The following is a 23,728-nucleotide window of genomic DNA, read 5'->3' on the forward strand; positions in this document are numbered from 1 at the left end:
AGGACCTGGTCACCACAGCACTGGACTGACAGGAGCTAGAGAGCTAGCTGAAAAGATTCCTATGCAAAATTATAAATGTTTTAAGTAAGCGCATAAAGCAGGAATGGTCTCTGACCTTGTAGAAATTATAATAAAGTGAAGTAGATAAAAAAATAAGAACATAATTAGAAATTTTGATGAGTGTTGTTGAGGGAATAAACAAGGTATATGGATAGAGCACAGTATAAAGAGAGCTAATTCTGCAGAGTGATTAGTGAAAGCCTCTCTTAAAAAGATGCTGTTAAAGCTGAAACATGTTGGATGAGGAGGAAGCCACAGAGAAAAAGCTGTGCAATCAATCAGGAAAAATATGAAGAAAATCACATTTTTAAAATATTCCCTTTTTAGTGTTTTTCCAAAAAGAAATCCTCAACCCACTCAACAAATGGAAAATGAGTCATGATAGCCAACCTATCAACTTAACTAATAGTGTCACCAAAAAGAATGATGCTTTGTAGATTTATACAGTTGTTAAATCTAGACTCATATTCTGCTTTTCAATGGTAGGCAATAACAGGCAACTTCCTTTTCTCTAAATGAAAATATATAAACCTATCACTGAAAAATAAAAAGTAGTTGAAGCCATAATTTTTGCTTTCAACATTGGTAACAGCAAGTGTGTTTAAAATAGTAAATTGTTCACTGGAAAACAACAACAAAACATAAAAGAAGAGAAAAAAAGACATTTTAAAGAAAAACAGTCAATAAATTTACCTGTATATTAGAGAAATCAAACTGGAGGGGTCGCTTTTGATCACTGATGCATGGAAATTTGACAGATTTCAAAATACAATCTGACAGCACTGAAACAACATTACTAAATTTTGGTGACTAAATTAATTTCATTCTCCTTAGGAGTGTAGATTAACTTTATTTTCTAATATCTTAGTGTGGGAAATTTAGTGCACTTACTTGAGGAAATTAAAGCAAAGGTAGAAAACAGAATGTTTGAGCCAAGCCAATTAACCGCCACTTGCTAAGTAATAAATCATAGATTTAGACTTCAATTTTTTAAAATATGTTTTATGGGACCCCAGGTTCTTCCCAGTGAACCTCAAACCCTTAGAATATTTTACTTTGCAGGAAGAGTTGTCTTTAACTGTTTGCATACAATTACTTACTTAACATTCAAATTTCAATCAAATGTATTCTTCCAACTGTAATGTGCACTCTCAGTTTTATTCTACAGTGGTCACCTTTTAGCAAATATAATTACTATGGAAAAGTATGGTTATTTATTTATATAATCCTCACAACTTCATTTAGTAGACACCAGTTTTACAGAAGAGTGAATATGAGGCTTAGAGATGCCAAGAAATCTCTCTACCTTGTTTTCTTGTGTCCTTTAGAGACTATAACAGTGTCTGACACAAAACAAGAGCTTAAAAAGAGTTGTTGTCAGTAACTTGCTGACTAACCAACTCACTTTTATGTGTTATTTTGTAAATTTTAAAGAGAAACTCTTGGCTTTAGCTCCCTCCCACACTACACCCCAAACAGAATCTATATCTTTAGTATTCTTCACCTTCTAATAGTTTAGTCATGCCCTGAATAAACATTGATTTCTTCAAACCAAAAACTTCCAAAGCATTCTTCAATATTTCCTATTTTTGTGCCTTATATCTAATCTATCGTGTCTTCAGTAGTTTCTTCTTCTAAATTATATTTAAAATCTGTTTCTTCTCCAACTCTATTGCCACCACTGTCCAAGCCAGCATATTTAATCTCAAACAGCATTAATAATCTTTCATGATCACATCCTTCAAAGTCCACTCTTGTCAATACTCCAAACATCTACCAGGCTATTCTTTCATAAAACAGTGAAAAGATCTTGAAAATTTCCATAACTTATAATTAAATTTTTACTATAGCCAGCTAATTTTCAGTTGGTATCCAAGAATAATTTCAACTTAATGTAATCATCTTCCAGGTCCTTTCTGCTCACTGCACAGACAAAATCAATCCACTAAGATCACAGTGTTGTAGTAGAGAAAGAATTTAACTGATGCAAGGCCAGTCCCCAAGGGAAAACTGGAGTTATTACTCAAATCAGTCTTCCCAAAGGCTCCAAAGTTAGGAGTTTTTATGTACACTCGGGAAAGCAGGGGACTAGGGAATGGGTACTGCTACTTGGTTGAAGATGAAATCATGGAGGTGTGGAAAACCATTTGCATCTGCCTCTGAGTGTGGCCACGGGATCAGTTGAGTCCTGAGTCAGGAGTCTGGGTGAGGTCACTCTAAAAAATATCTCGCACAAAAAATCTTGGGTTCTACAGTAGTGATGTTATCCATAAAAGCAATTGGGAAGGTCACAAATCTTGTGACCTCTGGCCACATGGCCCCTGAGCAGTAAGGAACTATAGAAACTACATGTATCTCATAATGTCTCTTCAGTCTTACAAAGCACTTTCAGCTGCAGGAAGAGGGAGGGAATTAGTTTTTGATAGGGATTATTATTATTGTTGTTTCAAAGTTAACCTATAAACTAAATTTCTCCCCAAGTTAGCTTGGCCTATTTATAGGAATAACCAAGGACAGCTTGGAGGTCAGAAGCAAGCTAGGGTCAACTCTGTCAGATTTCTCTTACTGTCATAATTTTGCAAGGGCAATTTCATTAGCATGTTTAAAATGTAACACAGAACATTACCCCCAAATCAGTTCAAGCCTTTATTCTTACCTTTTCTGTAATATCTACTTAGATCATAATAAAAATTATAATTCATTCTCCATAGAGCTACTCCCTCTTTCCCTTCATGGTTTTAGTTCTCTCCGAAGCATTGATCACCTATCAATATACTAAGTGTTGTTCTTATCTTTTGCATTTACTGTCAGTTTTCTCTCATGTAAAACGTAAACTCCATAGAGAATATTCCCAAATGCCTAGAATAGTTCCTGGCACATAATAGGTTCTCAATAAACATTAATTGAATAATTGGGTAGATTAATCAATCATTCATGATTGGTCTACAAGACGCTGCAATATTTTTTGCACTTTTTCTCTCTCCAACCTAATCTCGTGACACTGTCATTTTTATTTTCTATAGTCACCCTGTGTGTTTCCTGTGCCTAAAATATTCTTCTCCGTGCTTCCTCACGTGGATTTTTTCATCCCTTAGGACTCAATTTAGAACTCCCCACCTCAGAGAAATATTCTTATCCTATCCCATTTAAAGTAACTTTTTATTCAGCAACATTAACAATTTCTAGGCAACATTCAACCAGTGCCTTTCACAGCACATTTAAATCTCTAGGTTTTTGTTGTTGTTGTTCCTGTAACTAATTCTTATTTCTTTAATAAAATATGTGCTCCTTATGGGTATAGCTATATTGTTTGTCATTTTATCCCCCATAATCAACCAAGTGCCTGAAGCACAACTGCAATGAAATTGTTGGGAAAAGACAAATGGGACTTTAACATTTCATTCCATTATCTCTATATCATGGTGATGCAGGAATTTTTCTCTACCCCTGGGTTGGACTTACAACAGGGGATTGTAACAGCTGCATTCAACCTCTTATGGGAAGGAGAGAGTGAGCAAGTGAGCATGGGATCTGGCTGGCCATTTTGGGCACTGGCAAGAGCAGGCTCTGTGCGGACTCCATGGTGGAGCCCAAGTGGGGGTGCCTGTGACCCCCGAAGCCCCAGAGTGTGTGTTACAATGCTCTCTTAGCTCCACCATCCATGGACAGCAATATGCTATCAGCTCAGTGGGTACCTTGCCTTGTCAGGTGGGGCAGCTGCCCTCTGACAGTGATGGCAAAGGGGCAGGTGTAACAGCCTTTTTTGGGTACCCATGCTCAGTGGGTCCCAAGCTCTTGTCCGGGATCTAAGAGGAATGAGGTCACATGGACAGTTGAAGTATGGTGGAGGTGGAGAATTTTATTTAGCAATGAAAATGGCTCTCAGCAGAGAGGGGAGCTGGAGGGGTGGAAGGACAGGTGGATAATCTTCCCTGAAGTCCAGCTATATCTGGCCAGTTCTTCTCCAAAGTTAAGCCATCTCTCCTCTAAAGTCCAGCCGTCCCCCTCAAATCAAGTTGATTCTTTCCAGTCAAGCTGCTTCCCCCTCTCTACTGACTGAGTCTGGGGTCGTTACAGGCACAGGGTGGGGGCTGCTGGTGGTGCATAGATACTTTTGGAAAAGGCAACATTAGATTTGTGAAAAGACATTATTTAGAAAGAACCAGTTGGGAGAGAGCCAGCAAACAGGGATAGAAATTCTCACTTTGGGCCATGGGTTTCAGTCTTTTCAGCTTGAAGGTGGGGTTTTGCTGGAGACCCACCCATGTCCACCTAGAATTTCTCTGGCTTCTGCCTCTATCAATGGGATTATGGAAGGCATTTTAATATTTTTGAATCTGTATTACCTGTACTTAACACGTTACTTACTTACCAAAAGATTTACACACTTGCAAAGATATTATGACATTGATTATTATAATTAATATATCCTTTACTGGGTCTTTTTTACTCTTTGTGTTTGGAAAATAAGTTTCTAAGCAGGTAGATCCTAGTATACTGGGCTAGATTCACTCCCAAGCAGAAAACCAACTGTATGATGTGGACTAACAAAGTTCTTACCAGACCTCATTTCTAGAGGTCTTGTATCTTTTGTCTTTCTAGACTCTACTGGTTGATGACATTTTAAAAACAACGGTTTATATTTTCTGTTTCCCACTGATTTACTTCATTTGCAACTTTTTTTCCCCAAACAATTCCATACTTTGCTTTGGCAAAGAAGCTGCACTTTCTGATATGCCTTAAGATTCCCAGGGCTGTTTCACATTCCCAAGGGGTTTGGCAGAGTCCTTACAGGAGGACTGCTCCTTTTCCTCTTCCTCCTCCTTATCTCCTTTTATCTTAAGGTTTACTATCTGGGGTCCTTTGGTGATGGCAAGGAGACAACTCATTCACCACTGTTTTGATATATGAAGTGACTATCTCTTTGCAGAACACAATTCATTTGCAAGAAAAAATTCATTGTTCTGAGCAAGCCTCATTTCTCTCTTCAGTGACCTCCTTTGTAAATCTCATCAGTATTTTCACCATTCTTTGCAAGTGTTCTTCATGATTCAATATAAATTCTTATTGTTTCGCTCTTTCAGTAGTTCTCATGAAATCACATTCTTTAAGTACCGTGTCTAGTTCTCTTTCCACAATCTATTTTCTTCTTGTGTCCTGACTGACATGCTTACTTATCTCTCAGGCATATTTATTTGGAGGGCTCACTTCCACTTTGAATCACATATGACAAAAACACAATTCCCATTCAATTTAATTTCAGTGCAAAAGTACACAAAGAAAAAGCAGTAAAAGGCACATCTTCAGCACTTTACTGACTTTGCTACTATGTGAATAAACACTTATACATATGAGTTAAAAATATAAAATATGTATTGAAATGATTATATTAAAATGATTATATTGAAAACATGAGAGTATTAACATTGAGTTCATTTTATATGCAAAGGAAAATTTTAGATGCGTATTTTTGTGTTGTTTTTCAAAAATAAAATGTTCCAGTTATGATGTTTTTGGCATGCAAAATGAATCAAGAACCCTCTATCAACATGCAGTTAGAATTAACAGGTCCAAGTAGTGATAGACTTTTCCTAAGTGTTAAGTTTACTAAAATAATTAAACTATATTTTATAAGTCTAACTAGTATTTATAGTGCAGTAGGAGAACATTTAAAATAGAGACAAAATACTTGAATTCTAATTCATTTGCTTATTCAATACATTTGTTGTGGTTGATTGGCTTTTTAAAATTTTTTTGTTTTTAACTCAGTGTTCTCAGACACTATTTTAGTTACTAAAGATGCAAACTTCAACCTTCTTGCAAGATTCAACATCCTTGGCCTCAATTACTACTTTTTGATTCAAATTTATTGTATTTGTCTCCAATAAGATTCATACACAAGGTATCAGGCAAAGATTTGATATGTCAAGAACTTTGCAAGGTCTGATATTTTACTAGGATTTAACCTGACAAATTAGTTGGAAAGTTTCATAGATACTGTGAGAAGGTATGAGATTCTTAGGTTCAAGGAAAAACACTTTTCTATTTATGGCACACCAGGCAGCATGAAGTTTATGTTTGCATTGTTTTCCCTTGACTCCATAGTCCGCAGGTCTTGATATAGGTGGATACTGCACCCTGGGTGTGTTTGTGTCACAGTTGAGAAATCCAGAGAACATGACGTTCCCAATCTTCTAACCATGGCGCTAGCAAATTTAGCTGACCTTTCCCTGGAAGGAGACATTATCTTTATTATTCTGGTGTGGAAACACATCTGCCATTTCCCTCAGAGGGGATGTTATTTGCCATTTGCTATACAAATATCCTTGAAAACATAGTCCAGAACATAGACTGATAGAAGACTTGCAGAAGTAGATAAAAAGCATTGTTTTCATTATAAAGATACACTTCCTGTAGCCAACGAGCTCACAGTGTAGTGATGTGAAAGACGTAAAAACGAATAGAAGCTCATGATCATGTGTTTTCCCACGTTTCATGTGACTTTAAATTTTGTACTTTCTGAAAATTAAGACAGTATTTCTGTATTCAAAACTACCTCTATCTTTATAGTTTCTTCCTTTGAGGTTATTTCTAGGTGTTTCTCTGCATTGTAGGAGTTTTAAAAGTTTTTAGATATATAATTTGTTTTATATTTAGAAAAGTCATAAAAATATGTATATAACTTGTGAATTTCAACTGGAAAATAAATTCATTCAGAGAATAGAAACAAAACCAGGAAGGGGGACAGCAGTTCTATTTGTAAAACTTGTAATTAAAAATTAATGTCAGCATGTAGGTGAACTGTATATTCAAAAATACAGTAACCTAATGAGTCATTCTCTGATACATAATGAACATTAGCAAAGATAATATAAGACCTTAAAAAGGCCTGTACATAACAAGTTAGAGAATATCTAGAAAACATATTGAATGGGGAGAGAGCTATGTATTTGTTACATTTTAATTAAATCTTTAATCAAAACAAAGATAAATGATCAGGTATGTGGCTTTCAAAATTTTTAAAGGCATGTGAAGGAGATTAGAATGTGACACCTGAAAATATGCTACTCTAGCAAATTGACTATTTTGAGTTAAAGCCATTTGAAAAACAGCAGATGTAAGAAGAGTACTCTGATCCTCTTTCTTTTAAAATAAGAAATACAATTTCCATATGAAAGCTTCCTTTTCTATGCCAGGAGGATAAAAGAAAAAATTCTTACCAGTCTGACGCAGTGGCTCACACCTGTAATCCCAGCACTTTGAGAGGCTGAGGCAGGTGGATCACCTGAGGTCAGGAGTTGGAGACCAGCCTGGCCAACATGGATAAACCCAGTCTCTACTACAGAGGAATCTCTTGAACCTGGGAGGTAGAGGTTGCAGTGAGCTGAGATCACACCACTGCACTTCACCCTGAGTGACAGAGAGAGACTTGTCTCAGAAAAAAAGGAAAACAGGAAATATATATATATATATATATATATATATATATATATATATATATATATATATTTACCATAAAGGAATGGAGGTTAAAACTGAAAACTTTCTGTACAATCTTTTTTTCAAATAGTTGTCTTCATTGGTCTCCCCACATATTTTAGTTACATTCCCATACACACACACACACACACACACACACACACAAATTACTTCACATTGGTCAACTTAGAATTTAAAAAAAAATAGTTCTTACTACTGCTTTGGGTGTTTACTTATTTACCAAGGCTCCCAGATTATCTAAAACTTTCATTAAATAAATTTGAATGGTTTCTGTCTGTGAATCTATCTTATACCAAGTTGATTCTCAGGCCCAGCTAGGGCTTAAGAGAGTAATTAGAAAGTTTTGCTTACTCTACACATGTGTTCTTTTATCTTTAGATTTAATAAGGGAGAAATAAAACAATAAAAATAATTTAGGTTTGCTTGTTTTTGTTCTTTTAATATTTACTTTGGCATAAATATTTGGCTAATGTACTTAACTTAGTATACCCAATAATACATAATGATCTTTCTTAGTACCAGTGAGATATATTATTTTTCTTAATATCTGATGCTACAATCTTATAACTTGAACTTAGGTGAAAAAAATGAAAGAAATATACTAATAAAGAAGATTGATGCATCAAAATATAAAAACTATTCCTGGTAGCCAGGAAGTGACTTCTAACCTTTCAGTACTATAATATGTATGTGTGTATTTACACACATATTTGTTATTTCTGTTGTTGTTTTGAAACAGAGTCTTACTCTGTCACCAAAGCTGCAGTGCAGTGGCGCAATCACAGCTCATTGCAGCCTCGACTTTCCAGGTTCATGTATACCTGCCACCTCAACCTCCTGAGTAGCTAGAACAACAGGCAGGCACACACCACCACACACAGCTAATTTTTTCTATTTTTTGTAGAGATGGAATTTTGCCGTGTTGCCCAGGCTGGTCTTAAACTCGCGGGCTGAAGGGATCTGCCTGTCTAGGCCTCCCAAAATGCTGGGATTACGGGTGTGAGACACTGCACTCAGACTCCAAGTATAATTTTTAAAACACTTTGATCTCATGTAACATAATAAAAAGATTCAAATAGGTAACTTTGGGAAAAAGTCAGAAATATTTCTAAGCAATTACTTTCTAATAGGATTATAATTATTTGTGGCTGTTTATTTTGAAAAATTTCAAATATAAAGAATTTGAGAGAATAATGTAATGGGCTCCCATTTACTCATCAATGACACTAGCTTTATCTGTATACCTAATGACTTCCCTCCTGATTTACTTTATAATAAATACCACACATAATTTCATCTATATATATTTCATAAGCATAATTTTAATGTGTTCTTTTAATTGAAAAACTTTACAATTTTAAAAGTTAAAAAAAGGAAACAGGATGAATGTAGTTAAGATTGTCCAAAATCAAGTATTCCTTAAAATTATATTATAAATATTAATCAGAAAATGCATCTGTGAACACATTGGATTTTTCATTACACTATAAGCAAATAAATACTTGCTAAGCCAACAGATATCACAGAATTTGAAAAGTATTTAAGGGAAAAAACATACAAACAATAGAATAGCTTGAACTAGTGGTCTAGACTACCTACCCAATGGGACTTTTTGTTATATGCCATTTCATAATTAATCGAAATGGTATATAATTCTAGATGGGGCCACAAGATCAATTGAATCATGAGTCAGAAGTCCAGGTGTATTCACTCTGGAAAACATCTCAAAAACACAATCTTAGGTTCTACAATAACGATGTTATTTATAGAAGCAGCTGGAATGGTCACACATCTTGTGACCTCTGGCCACATAACCCCTGAGGAGTAAGGGATTACAGAAACTACTCAGTTTGGTTTTGGGAAGCACTACTATCATCCTTGTTTTAAGATTAAACTATAAGCTAAATTCCTCCCAAAGTTTGCTTGGCCTACTACGCCCAGGAATGACCAAGGATGGTTTAGAGGTCAGAAGCATGATGGAGTCAACTATGTCAGACTTATCTCACTGTCATAATTTGTCAAAGGGATTTTTTTCTTTCTTTTTATTTATTATTATTTATTTTATTTTATTTTTTTGAGACAAACTCACTCTTGTCCAGGCTGGAGTGCAGTGGTGTGACCTCAGCTCACTGCAGCCTTCACCTCCCGGATTCAAGTGATTCTCCTGTCTCAGCCTCCCAAGTAGCTGGGATTACAGGCACGCACCACCACGTCCAGTTAATTTTTGTATTTTTAGTAGAGACGGGGTTTCACCACGTTGGCCAGACTGGTCTCGAACTCCTGACGTCAAGTGATCCACCCTCCTCAGCCTCCCAAAGGGTTGGGATTACAAGTGTGAGCCACTGCGCCTGGCCTGCAAAAGCATTTTCAGTAGCTATCCAGATACTTCCTTTGGCTTAGGACATTTTCCTAGGCTGATAATTCAACCTTCTGTGAAATGTAGTAGTCTTAGGAAGACCATTCCAAAAGACAAAGGGTTGCAACTGCTGAAAGTACTATTGCTTACACTCTGTAAAGCATGATTTTTCATTTAGATAAATTAATTTTATGCATCTAAAAAATATAGAACATAGTTTCCTTTTGTCAAGTACTCAATAAGGAGTTGGTTACTTCTGTGATAGCCCGTTAGCAGAACATAGCAAATAATTAAATGATGCCAGTTTTATAGATCAATGATATCAGATCTTCAAGTAGAAAATTTATTATTTTGTGTGGTTTTATTTCTAGGCTTTCTATTCTTTTCCATTGATGAGTATGTCTATCTTCATGCCAGTGCTGTGCTGTTTTAATTCCTATATCTTTGTTTTATATTTTGAAATCAGGAAGTATGCTGCCTCTATTTGCTGTCTTCTTTGGTTCCATGTAAAATTTAGAATTGTTTTTTCTATTTCTGTAAAAAAAAGTCAACAGAATTTTGATAAAAATTGCATTGAATCTATGGATGACTTTGGGCAGTATGGTTATTTTAACAATATTAAGTCTTCCAATCCATGAACATAAAATGTCTTTCCATTTTTTGTGTGTCTTCTGTAATTTTTTTCATCAATGTTTTGTAGTTTTCGGTGTAAAAGTCTTTCACTTTTTTAGTTAAGTTTATTCCCAAGTATTTTATTCTTCTTAGTGCTATTATAAATAAAATTGTTTTCTTATTTTCCTTTTAATTATGCTCTATTATAATACATATAACATCATGTCATCTGTAAACAGGGACAATTTTATTTTCTGCTTTCTGATTTGGATGACTTTTATGTCTTTTTCCTAATTCACAGATCAGAATGTCCAATACCATGTTTAATAGAAGTGGAAAAGTGGACATCCTTGCCTTATTCCTGGTCTTACTGAAAAAGCTTTCAGTTTTTAACGGTAAAAACTGAAACATTTTTCACAAACTATGATGAACGTTAAGTATGTTAAATATAATGTTAGTTATGGGCTTTTCATATAAAGCCTTTATTATGTTGAGGTAATTTTTCATATTCCTTATTTGTTGGGAGTTTTTGTCAAATGCTTAATTTTAATAAGCATTAAAATTATTAATGCTTGTTAATAATTTTAAATGCTTTTTCTGCATCTATTGAGGCAATCTGTTAATGCTGTATATCACATTTATACATTTGGTTATGTTGAACCACATTTGCATCTTAGGGATAAAACATGCCTGGACATTATTGCTGGACATTATGTAAGATCATTTTAATGTACAGATGAATTTGGTTGCTAGTACTTTGTTGGATTTTTGCATCTATGTTCATCAGGATTATTGGCCTGTAATTTTATGTTCTTCTGGTGTCTTCATCTGGTTTTGGTATCAGGGTGGTCCTGGCCTCCTAAAATGAATGTGGAAATGTTTCTTTCTCTTCATGTTTTTGAAAAAAATTGAGAGGGTATGACATTATTTCTTTTTTAAATGTTTGACAGAATTCACCAGTAAAGCCATCTGATCTTAGACTTTTACTTATTGGGATGTTTTTCATTACTGATTCAATCTCCATACTCATTACAAGCCTCTTCAGACTTTCTATTTCTCCATGATTTAGCCTTTGTAGGTCGTTGAATTCTAGGAAGTTTTTCATTTCCTCTAGATTTTCTAGTTTTTATTGTTAGATAATTATTCATATTTGTCTCTCAAGATCCTCTTTATTTCTGTGGCACTAACTGTGATGCCTCCTCTTTCATGTCTGATTTTATTCATTTGAGTCTTCTCTTTTAGTCTAGCTAAAGTTTTGTCAATTTTATTTATTTTAAAAATTGACTCTTAATTATGAGTTTTGTTGATTTTTCCTATTGTTTCTGTAGTCTCTATTTTATTTATTTATGCTCCCATCTTTATTATTTGATTCCCTCTGATATCTTTGCATTTAGTTTGTTCTCTTTTTCTACTTCCTTGAGATACAAAGTTAGGTTGTTTATTTGAAATATTTCTTCATTTTAGTATAGATATTTATTGCCAAAATTGTTATGCTTAGTACTGCTTTTGCTGCATCCCATAAGTTTTAACATATTGAGTTTTAATTTTTGTTTCTCAAAATATTTTATGATTTCCCTTTTGATTTCTTCTTTGCCACAGAGATTGTTCAAATATATGTTGTATAATTTTCACATATTTGTGAATTCTTCAGTTTTTCTTCTGCTGTTGGTTTTTAGTTTTATTCCATTGTGATTAGAAGACACTTGGTATGTTTCAACCTTCTTACATTTGTTAAGACTTGTTTTGTAACTTAATATGTGATTTATCTTGGAGAATATATATTTCACCATTGTTGGCTTGAATGTTTTGAATAGGTCTGCTAGGTACCTGTAATCTATAGTTATTCAAGTCTACTGTTTTTTAGGTAATCTTCTGTCTCTTTGTTCTACCTATTATTGAAAGTGAGATATTGAAGTCTACTATTATTGCTATGTTAAGTCAAGCCAGTCACAGAAGGAAAAATACGTTATTACCCCACTTATATAAGTTACCTAAAATAGTCAAACTCATAGATGCAAAGAATAGAATGGTGGTTACCAGGGGCTGGAGGAGGGACAAAGGGGTATTTACTAATCAATGGGTATAAAATTTCAATTACTCTAGCTGACTAAGTTATAAGAATCCTCTGTACAACATCATGCCTATAGATAACTATATTGTACTGCACAATTAAAATCTGTTAAGAGGCCAAATCTCATGTTAATTGTTTTTACATGATAAGATTAAAACACATACACACACACCAAAAATAATATTGGCCATCTCTAGGTCACATTGAATCTTCTCAGTTGCCAGGTTTTGTCCAGCTTTGTGCTGGCCAAATTTGCAACATTACAATAACAATTTGTAGGTAATATGTTCCCTGTAATCATGACTATTTTTTATTAAGCACTTTTTACTGATACTCGGGGATATTATATTGCTTTTGATTCACCATTGTTAAATTACACTAAATTTGGCCTAAGCCTGCTTTTGTATTTTCATTGCCTGCCTATCAAACTGTAACCTAACATAGTATGCAAACAAACTCCACGCTAACCAAGGAGCACATTCTTTGAACAACTAGCTGGGCCTAAGCCAATCACAGCAACCAAACTTCTGCCGATCACAGGCTCCCAACTTATGAGACCATGTCCATATAAGGAAAGGGCCCAGCTGTAATCAATCAAGCTGTTTTTGTGTGTTTCTTTCTTTTTCTATCTATAAATATGACCTGCTCACATTAGTGGGTCGAGCGCTCTGAACTTCAGCTGGTTCAAGCTTCTACCTAATTCATGAATCATTCTGGGATCACATAAACTCTACTAAATTTATTTATCTAAAGTCTTGTAACAGTTTGGTGTGTCAGTATTTAGATCCAATGTAGACCTCCATCAACCCTAGGAGCATCAAGTGACCAAGCAAAGGTAACCTCCAGGGATCATTGTGTCCATTAATCTCTTACAGCAATTAGGGTTATGGGTGAGTTCTCTCTCATATTAGAGCTTCCCAATTTTGTGTGTTAGGCTCTCCAGCTTTTCACGACTGAGTCTACTTAATTATCAGATCCAATCTGGATGTTTTCATCAATTAGTAAGTTTTGTAGTATTGTACTGGACACATGTTTTTTTAATATGTCTGTCTATGTCTGAATGTATGGTGTTTATGTGTGATTTCAAAAATCTTATTATATTGTCAAGTTACATTGTTAAAGAGCTTTATTTAATTGGCTTTAAAAATAGATACACTAATTGTTCTTTCAGAAAAATAATTACTAACCCAAATTCTTTTTAAGTTCACATGACTTAGGTGATCTTTGATCAATAAAAATATTGTTGGTGTAATGCAAGCAGGCATGTCATCAGAGTTGTCAGCATTAAGTATGATGCAGACCAATAAGTTGTATCTTTATTAGATGTTTAAAATAATAAAACTATAATTTCAAGTTAAGAACAAATGGGCAAGCTGAAGTATAATATCCATTATTTCATATATATCAAGGACAGCAACTAAACATGAAAAAAATCTTGTTTCTAGCTCTTTAGGTTCATTACTTTTGTGATGACTATATAAGATGCATATGCAGTAAAAGTAATTAGCAAGGAAATAACTTGGGTGCCATGCTTTGTTTTGGGTTATGACACGTGTACTTAAAAATAGCCTTACAAATCTCTTTGGAAACTTACACCATTGGAGGTCTACTAAGTTAAATTAAATGATAGATATTCATTAAGCATCTAGATTATTTACAAATATAATGCCAAAACATTAATTGCTGAACAGGTTTATGTTTCTGTACTTCTGCCATATTGTTTTTAATATGGTATAGAGAAACTGAATATATTTGGGATTGTTAATAAACATGAGAACTTACACTTTGAGGAAACACATAATTCCAGAAATTATAAAAGTTCATTAATCTACAAAATCCTGATTCATAATTGCTAAGAATTAAGATTCTAATTAATATATAGTAATTAAAACTAGAAATAAAAAAGGAAACAACTTCTTAGATGAGAAACAGAAGACATGATTTTGGTAAGTGAAGCTTAAATCAAATATGTGTTTTTTAAGGGAAAAATAGTAATTTTTATCCTAGAGTATAATAGTTATTTCAAAATGAGAAAAAGCAAAAATATAAGACAGATAACCAAAAGGATAAAAGAAGATTATGGAAGTTTATGAAAGATGAATATTGTAAAAGAAACTTTATATGTGATCAACTTTAGAAGGGAATTATTAGTAAGTGTTTCTAAAACTTTAAGATTAACATCAAAAGTACACTCATGTAAAACTAGAATTTGGTCCTCTCTGTTAACAAAAAAGATTTTCTTAGGGTATTGAACTGCTCTTAATATGAAACTGTGGAAGGTTTTCCTTTACCTTTTGAGAAACTGGCCTAGGAAACAAAGATTTAGTATTTTACCAAGATATCTTGCACTTAATGTTGTCATTATTTGATTTTTTATCATTTAAGAAAAAACAAGTCTTCTCTATTAAAAAGTTAATTTTTTTTTTCCTAAAACTATGTTACTTACTGTATTTGCCTTTGAATTTTTTGGATTATCACTCTGGTTAAATACATAATTATTTTGTGAGAAAATAGGCTTGCTTATGGAATATTCCTGGAGAAAACTCCAGTGATAGAGGTGCTCATTTTACTGAACGAGCTGCAAAATAGTCAAGTATTTCAAACACAATCGCATCCAGGAATCTAACTGAATAAATTGGATTGGCCAAAGGTATTATCACTTGATGGCAATCAGATCCAATCCCACTGGGGAACACTAATTGACCCCTTACAAATAGTCATTGGAAGGCCTATGCCCCTAATAATAGAACTTCATGTATCTCACATTCATGAATTGTGACATGACTCAATATTGCCAGGCTTTAAAGCATGTTGCCCAGTTATATTTTCACCAGGTAAAAGCCCTTCATGACCCAACAACAATCTAACCATGTACAACCTAGAACCTGAAGATTGGGTCTTTGGAAATTATACCACAAAAAGACTGCTTTCGAAGTTTGTTGGAAGAGACCATACCAAGTTCTACCCACATGGCAGTATAACTTAAGGGTCTCGAGGCTTAGATCCACTTTTCTCAATCTAACAGAACCCCTTCAGAATCTTGGGACTGTAAACCCACTGAAGACCCCAAGGTAAAACTAACAAGAGTGGTTTTTCCTCAAAACCAGGTAACAGCCTAGACAGCTTTCCTAAGATTACAGATCAAGAATTCTGTCCTCTGCCATCATAAAATCTCTTTCCCCTGTCTTCTTTGCCTGTTTCTTTTCCGTTTATGTATGGCAAGATAATTAAGATTTCCTAATCAATAGCTTCCACAGGAAACGTAACTGAATGTTAGCTATATCATGATAAACTTAAATCCTTACATGCTATTAGAGATTATTTGGTTTATCCTGTAACAAATTTTACTGATATTCCAAGTGGAATGCGTGTTTTCTTCTATAGGATTACACTTTCTATAGATTACACTTTTAGTTTCAGGCATTCAGATGCAGTAGGAAAAACGTATAATGAGGGTTTTACAGTTAAATTATGCCAGAAATTAAAAAAGAAAGCAAAAAAAAAAAAAAAAGAGGATAATTGAAAATTTAGAGGCAAATGTATCACCTTATTCCTTTAATGGTCAGTAGCCTCCAACCAGGTAATCATATAATAATGGCGCCTCAGATAAATATTACTAGTGCTTCCCTGCTTGTGACCCCTAATGCACAAGGCATCTCCCAGGGACCTGTCTGTTGTGCCCCACTAGGATATACTTTATCTCTACAGGATTTAATGCTCAACGTGTTGGCAACTTCATGTACCCATAAGTGGAAAATTAGAGGCCAACGTGGATTAGAAATTCTAATAGTACCACTGTCACGCCAAAGCAAATTGGAAACTGAACACCTCTTAATTTGCACTATGGAATAAAAAGGAATTTGCCAGCAGGCATAAATTCCTGCAAATGGGCATATTTTGGGAGAATGCTCCTTCTCTGGCTAAATGTAAATAAGATTAGGATTAAAGATCTGTTTCAAACATTAGGTAATATACTGACTCCACTGCAAAAGCTACAGTTGCCCAGCAAACTTCTTTTGCTAAAATTGTTTTAGATCAAACAATTGCTTTAACCTGCCTGTTGGCTGAAGAGGAGGTGTGTGCCATAGCTAACACCTCCTACTGCACTTGGATAAATATGCCTGCTATGGTTAAAACTCAACAAGATACCTGGCTAAAACAAGTAGATTCCTCTTTTGGCTCATTTTTTATCTATTTGATTTTCATCAGTTTGGTTTACAGGAGCTCCTTCTAAAGAGTATACTTTAGTCTCCTAGTATTATTCGCCTAATAGCTATCATAATAGTGTACCTGGAATTTCATATCTTCTCAAGAGTCTTGAAAGTTCATATGCAGCCATCCCTTATACATCAAATTGTCTCACTACGGTTAGAAAAGTGAAACTGTGAAGAGAACGTAAAGAAACATTCAGCTGACTTATCAAGAATTGTGACTTCCATACTGAGACAAAGAAGTCAATTATGATGGTAACAGAGAGTGCTATCAATGCCCAGGATTTTGGTCATCCTTTCAATTTTGAAAGGGAAATGTTAAATTAAACTAAATTTAGTCTGAGGCTTCCTTGGTACTTTGTGTTCCTACATAACAAATTGCAACCTGAATTAGTATGTAAACAAACTGCAACCTAACTTAAGAATATATTTCTGTATCTGTATCTTCAGCCCATGGCAGACATCCAGCTGATCACACTGTGTCCACATAAGGCAAATGCTGAGCTGTAATCCATCAAGCTGTTTCCGTAAGTCATTTTCTTGTTCTGTCTGCAAATACTGCCTGACCACATTGCTTGATGTGGTTTTGTGAAACTCTTTTGGTCCGGGGTGCTGTTTGATTCGGGACTCATTTGTGCTGGAATAAACTCTGCTAACTTTAATTTGTCTAAATTTTTTAAAACACCATACACAGCTCTTGGTTTCACGTAATCCAGAAATTCCTAGTTTAACATATCCAAATAAAGCTCATCTCAGTTGTAAGGAAAGGGTTTCCGATTAATTTACAGTAACCATGCCAATTTTATTTTTTGTTATTGTGATAACCATACTAAGTTTCTCTCAAGAACGCATCTTAAATATACAAAAATTTCAAAAGAAACATAATGCAAGATTGCAATAATGCTTTCCTTAATATCTGGGTTAAAAAAATATGTCATGACGAAATTTTTGGCCACATTTATCTTAAACACTAGGATTTTTAATTTAATTGAAAACTGTGTTACTTAAGAATTTCCCTACCATTAACTTTCAAAATCAGTGATCGCTGGGGAGTAGGAGAATCAGATTTCCAGAGTTACTACATTAAAACCTCTTCAACAAATAATGCTCGGCAAACTAGATATACACATGCAAAAGAATGAAGTTGGACCCTTACATTGTACCTATAAAAGTAGCAACTAAAGAGAACAATAGACCTAAACTTAAGAGTTAACACTATAAAACTCTTAGAAGAAAATATGGGGAAAAGCTTCACTGCATTGAGTTCGGCAATGTTTTCTTGGATGTGACACCAAAAACACATAGAAAAGCAAAAATAATAAATCGGATTTAAATTAAAAAATTCATGTGCATCAGAAGATGTTATCAATGCAGTAAAAACCTATCCTAGAGAATGGCAGAATATATCTTGCATATATCTGATAAAGGATTGATATCCAGGATGTATAAAGAACTCCTACAACTAAACAACAAACAACCCAATTTAAAAAGATAGGCAAAGAATTTGAATAAACATTTCTCCAAAGAAGATATACAAATGGCCAATAAGCACATAAAAGATGCCCAACATATTAGTTATTAGGGACACACAGATCAATATTATAATATTACTTTATACCTACAACAGTGGTTATTAAAAAAAGAATACAATAAGTGTTGGCAAAGATGTAGGGAACTGAAAACCTTGTGTATTGCTAGTGGGAACGTGAAATATTGCAGCCTCTGTGAAAAACAGTTCAGCAGTTCCTCAAAAATTAAATTAAATGATTACCTTTTAAAGGTAGTGCTTAACAACATGATGAAGCCTCAGAGTCCTATGCCACAGTAATAATTATAGCCAAAGATTTTAAGTTATTAAGTATATTTGATAATAGCTGGTAATATTACGTATGTTAAAGTAGTGAAAAAATTCCACATAAAATATTATTTTTGAGCCAGTTCACATCAGTATCTTGGGAATATGAACCTAAAATCTATATATTTGCCTTATAATTGATGTAAGAACAATAAAAGATGATATGCAGCAGAGATTTCTCAAATGATCCAAGAGTATTAGAAGTGCAATCTTCACATAAATATAAAAATAAATCCTGAAAAGTGATGTTATTCAAACATAATTATTTCCTGCCTTACAGTTGAGCTTATATTTTAAAAATTCCTAGAAAATTATAATTTTAAGCATGAATGGCTTGATTTTTCTCATTATATTTTTTCAATATGATATATTCACAAGATAATCAGCTCATATACAGAAATGTCTTTCTAATAATACTTTTCACCACTTCAATTATCCACTATTCAGTCTATTGTCACTAAGATGAATTATTCTAAATTTTACTTTTTAAAATATATTTGAGGTATGAATATTACCTATCAGACATACAATACAAATCTATGATAATACTAACCTGGAAATCTTAATTACTACAGAATTTATTTATTATACCAGAAGAGTTTTTATGTCTTTCTCTGTATGTCACCTTAAGATTACAAAAGCAGAATAAATAGTAATAGACTTCAATTTTAACAATCAAATGAATATCACTTGATTTTAATTTTATACAGTCACAAAGTTTCTTGGCTTTTAAATTTTCTTTAAAGAAAAGTTTTATAAAATTTGATATTGAGTTTTTAGGTATAGAATCATCTATCTATCATCTATCTATCTATCTATCTATCTATCTATCTATCTATCTATCTATCATCTATCTATCTATCTATTTATCTACAGATGGAGTTTAGTCTGTTGCCAGGCTGGAGTGCAGAGGCATAATCTCGGCTCACTACAACCTCCGCCTCCCAGGTTCAAGCGATTCTCCTGGGACTACAGCCACGCGCCGCCAAGCCTGGCTAATTTTTGTGTTTTTAGTAGAGACAGGGTTTCACCATATTGGCCAGGATGGTCTCTATCTCCTGACCTCGTGATCCACCACCTCGGCCTCCCAAAGTGCCAGGATTTCAGGCGTGAGCCACCGTGCCCGGGCATAATCTTAGATATTTTTAAATTAGTAAATGATTGGTTTTTCGATTGTGTTAGGCAAAATTTTAGAATGGCACCCCAACAATGTCCTGACCTTATCCTCAGATCCTACAAATAAGAAATTGACCTTAGGACAGGAACAGTGGCTCACTCTGTAATCCTAACAATTTGGGAGGTTAAGGCAGGAGGATCATTTCTGCTCAGGAGTTTGAGACAAGCCTGGACAGCATAGTGAGACCTCTCTCCGGAAAAAAATAAAAAACTTAGCTGGGCATGGCGGTGCATGCTTGTAGTCCCAGTTACTTGGGAGGTGGAGGCAGGAGGATCACTTTTGCCCAGGAGGTTGAGGCTGCAGTGAGCTGTGACTGTGCCTCTGCATTCCAGCCTGAGTGACAAAGTGAGACCTTGTCACACACACACACACACACACACACACACACAATAAACCTTAAAATGAAGATATAATGTATGAAGAACTGATTTAATTACATGAATCGTTTTAAAAATAGAGAGCCTTCTCCAACTGATGGCAAAAAGGGAAGTCTGAGAAATGCCAATTGTGAGAAAGACTTAATACACAATTCCTGTATATTATCTGATCATTTATTTTACTGTGTAGCTTATTTAAAAATTAAGTATGAGTTAGTCAGATTGTCTCATCTGTCTAAACCAATGCCTGATTTGAAGATGGAGGCGGCCACATGAGAAGAAGGCTGTGGCCTCTGGAAACAGTGAGTGGCCTGTACCTGACAGCCAGCAAGGCTACAGAGATTCCAGACTCACCACTGTGAAGTGTGGCAGAATATACCACTCCATAATATAGATTACTTTGAGCTAAAGGCACTTGACAAACATTAGATGCAATAAAGCCATTCTAATCTCCCTTTTTCTTCCTGCAAAAAAGGAAATAAAAATTCCCAAGTGGGGAGGCTGAGGCAGGATAATTGCTTGAACCCAGGAGGCGGAGGTTGCAGTGAGTCGAGATCATGCCATTGCACTCCAGCCCGGGTGACAGAGCGAGATTCTGTCAAAAAAAAAAAAAAAAAACTCCCATGTGAAGGTACCCTCCCTGCCTATACTAGGAGAAAAGAAACATAACCAAAGAGTCATAATCAAGAGAATTCTGCACAAGTAGATCATGTAAAGATAATTCTTATATGTCTTTTATCTCCCCACAGCATTTAATTTTCCACAATTGCCTGTCTTTGTTTCGCCTAATATAAAAACATTTAGGTTTTGCTACTTCTCTGGGTCCTCATTTCTTTATCAGGGCTCCTGTGTCACATAAAACTTACATAAATGTGTATGTTTTTCTCCTGTTAATCTGTTTTATGTCCATTTAATTCTCAAGCCCAACCAAAAATCTAAAAGGATAGAGATAAAATTTTGCCTCCTGTACAGCTGTTAAAATTAGATTTTGCTAACCACATGACTTAGCTTAAAGTGGATTCTTTCAGTTTCCAGACAAGTGCCTATTTGTAGGTTAAGTATTGTGAGATATTGTCCAGACAAACCAGCCAAACCCACCTGAACATCTGACCTACAGACCTGTGAGATAATAAATAAATGTTTACTAAGCTAAAAAGTTTATGTTAATGCATTATGTAGCAATATAAAATTAATACATGCTTTCAAAAACTGTACATAACTTTGCTTTTGTGATTATTAAACTTATATTTCATTCAAGGAGCAAAAGTCATATGCCTCATCAGTTCTAGGAAATAAGGTAAACAAGATTGTCCTCTGAAATCAAAATTGTGAACTAAAGAGATAGATGCCCAATTTGCCTTAAATCAGCAGATTATAAATTTTTGGACATGATTCCAATTTAATAAAACTATGAAATCCTTTTCTCAGAGAAGAAAAGAAACTTGCATTTATAGGCACACTTTGTGTGGAATATCTAGATTGATTATAAGACACTGTATCTAACAGGACAACTCCAGTACCCATAGAGCATAAACATAAAATAGTTTAACATATCAACCTAATCAGAAAAAAATCTTAATCGTTTAGAATAAGGTAAATTTCACACACATTTTGCAGGGTCATAGGCACAAAGGGATGCAATGCCAACTAACTAACTCACTGTCCTGAAGCAGTTCCCTGATGCCCTATGTAAGTATCTGGCAAACTTTGCTATATTATCTCCAACTGTTAGAGCCTGTTGGATTTTTACTTTCATTTGTTAAACTATGTCTCTTTTATCTGAGCATTAACTCAGCCTCTGATTACTTGTTCTACTGGGTAGCTTATTTTAAAATTAAGTATGAGTTAGTCAGATTGTCTCACCTATCTAATATCCTGGGAGTGATACCTCATATCATATCTTTTAAATTTTATTCTCAATCTTTCTTAGCTTTACTGACATAAATTAACATTACCCAGCTGAAACAGCTTTAGGATGGTGATGAGATTGAGTTTCTTGTTCTGCAAGCCAAATGTCAATCTGGACAATGATTAATTCATTAAGATACTAGTATGCGTGGCCAGAAGTTCTCCTCCAGATGACACCCTCACTTCCTTTTGTGGGTCTTAATTGAACTTGTCCACATTTAAAAAATAATTTCACAGGCTTAGTATTAACAATCTTTTTAAAAAAAATTTAATGTAGGAGTTAAATTAAATTTCATTATAGCACATTGTTCATAGCTGAGGTTAAAAAGGCCAGTAATAAATTAGTGCTTAGAATGGTCAACATTCAGGGTACTAATTAAAAAGGTGGACTTCATTTACAACTTTTTGTCAAAACAACTTATGTTATTTCCTTTGACACCACTGGAAACCTTTCAATTAACTACCAACTACAGGAACTGAGAACTCATTGGAAAATTAATGAAAACTACTTTTCTATTTTTTATTGTGCTTCCTTCACTCTTTTCTTTCCTAAAAAGTATATAATCATAAAAAGTAAGACATAACTCAAATGTCTGAATAAATTACTTCAAGTGTCAATACCTAAAAATTTGAGGGCTTTGAGATATATACTTTGTAGTTCACGTTTTTTTCAGAAGAACTCCAGTTGAATTTGTACTATTTTGCATTGTTAATAATATGGCATTATTTCATTAGTTATCTTTAAATGTCGGTGCAACATAGGGTTATAAAATATTCCACTAAGGTAACATAATTTTCTGTCATCACTAGTGTGTTGTTTCTAAGAGTTTTCTAAGAGTAATAACAAACATAACAGTAATTGTTTTCTATGATTTTATATTTTTAAAATGTTGTCCTTTTTATTCAGATAGTTGTATTGTGAAATTTTCTGAGTCTATTTCCTTTTTTGTTTTCTTCATGATATATTTGAAGGATGGAATTTTAAATTTTGATGATATCTAAATCTTTTTATTTGTTTTTTTTTTTTTTTTGTCTTTTATGGTTTGTATTTTTTTATCCTGTCCTAAAAATGCTTTGCCTAACTCATGGCCACAATGATATTTTCCTTTCTTTTTTTTTCCCCCTGAACTTTAATAGTTTTAGCTTTTGTGTTTAGGTAAATAATCTATTTTTTAATTGCATATAATGTAATTTATATATTTCCATTTTCCTCTCATGTATTAATGTTATATTTATAACTAGAAATAAAAAGCAACTATTTGTATTTGTGTAAAAAATTCTGTACAAATAATTATTTATAAGTTACTGAGTCAAAATTGTTTCAAAATGGTTGAAAACACCAAAACTTCCCTAAATGTATTTAACAACACACTCTTTTCAGGGAACAGCATTTTGAAAATCCTTTGAACAATAATAAATTTAAATCCTAGTGGAGTTATTTTAAAAATCGTGGGAGAAATTTTGCTGTAGATAAAGGAACAGTGCAGTATCTTTCTAGTAAGCTTGCTTCAAAGTCCTCCAAATTTAAGAGATTTATCAAGGAAGTGCCTAACAGCTATTACTGTTATCAAAGTAATCAGTCCATTTACTAATGTTCTGAG

The 23,728-nt window shown here is 34.1% G+C and overlaps 1 long non-coding RNA gene across 9 annotated transcripts in view; it reads left to right on the forward strand.

The window, feature by feature from the left end:
* The window catches only part of LOC105374191 (uncharacterized), a 237,185-nt gene that overhangs the window by 141,045 nt on the left and 72,412 nt on the right, over window positions 1-23,728 (forward strand). For 6 of the 9 annotated variants that reach the window (XR_924663.2, XR_001740998.2, XR_001740999.3 and 3 more), the window contains exon 2: window positions 17,261-17,337. This is a non-coding gene — a long non-coding RNA (uncharacterized LOC105374191). Of the gene's footprint in view, window positions 1-15,046; window positions 15,707-17,260; window positions 17,338-21,836; window positions 21,909-23,728 lie in introns of those variants that run through there. The other 3 variants (XR_007096284.1, XR_924660.3, XR_924662.3) reach the window with 3 other exon arrangements.

Source organism: Homo sapiens, chromosome 3 (assembly GCF_000001405.40).
Source record: "Homo sapiens chromosome 3, GRCh38.p14 Primary Assembly".
Classification (NCBI taxonomy): domain Eukaryota; kingdom Metazoa; phylum Chordata; class Mammalia; order Primates; family Hominidae; genus Homo; species Homo sapiens.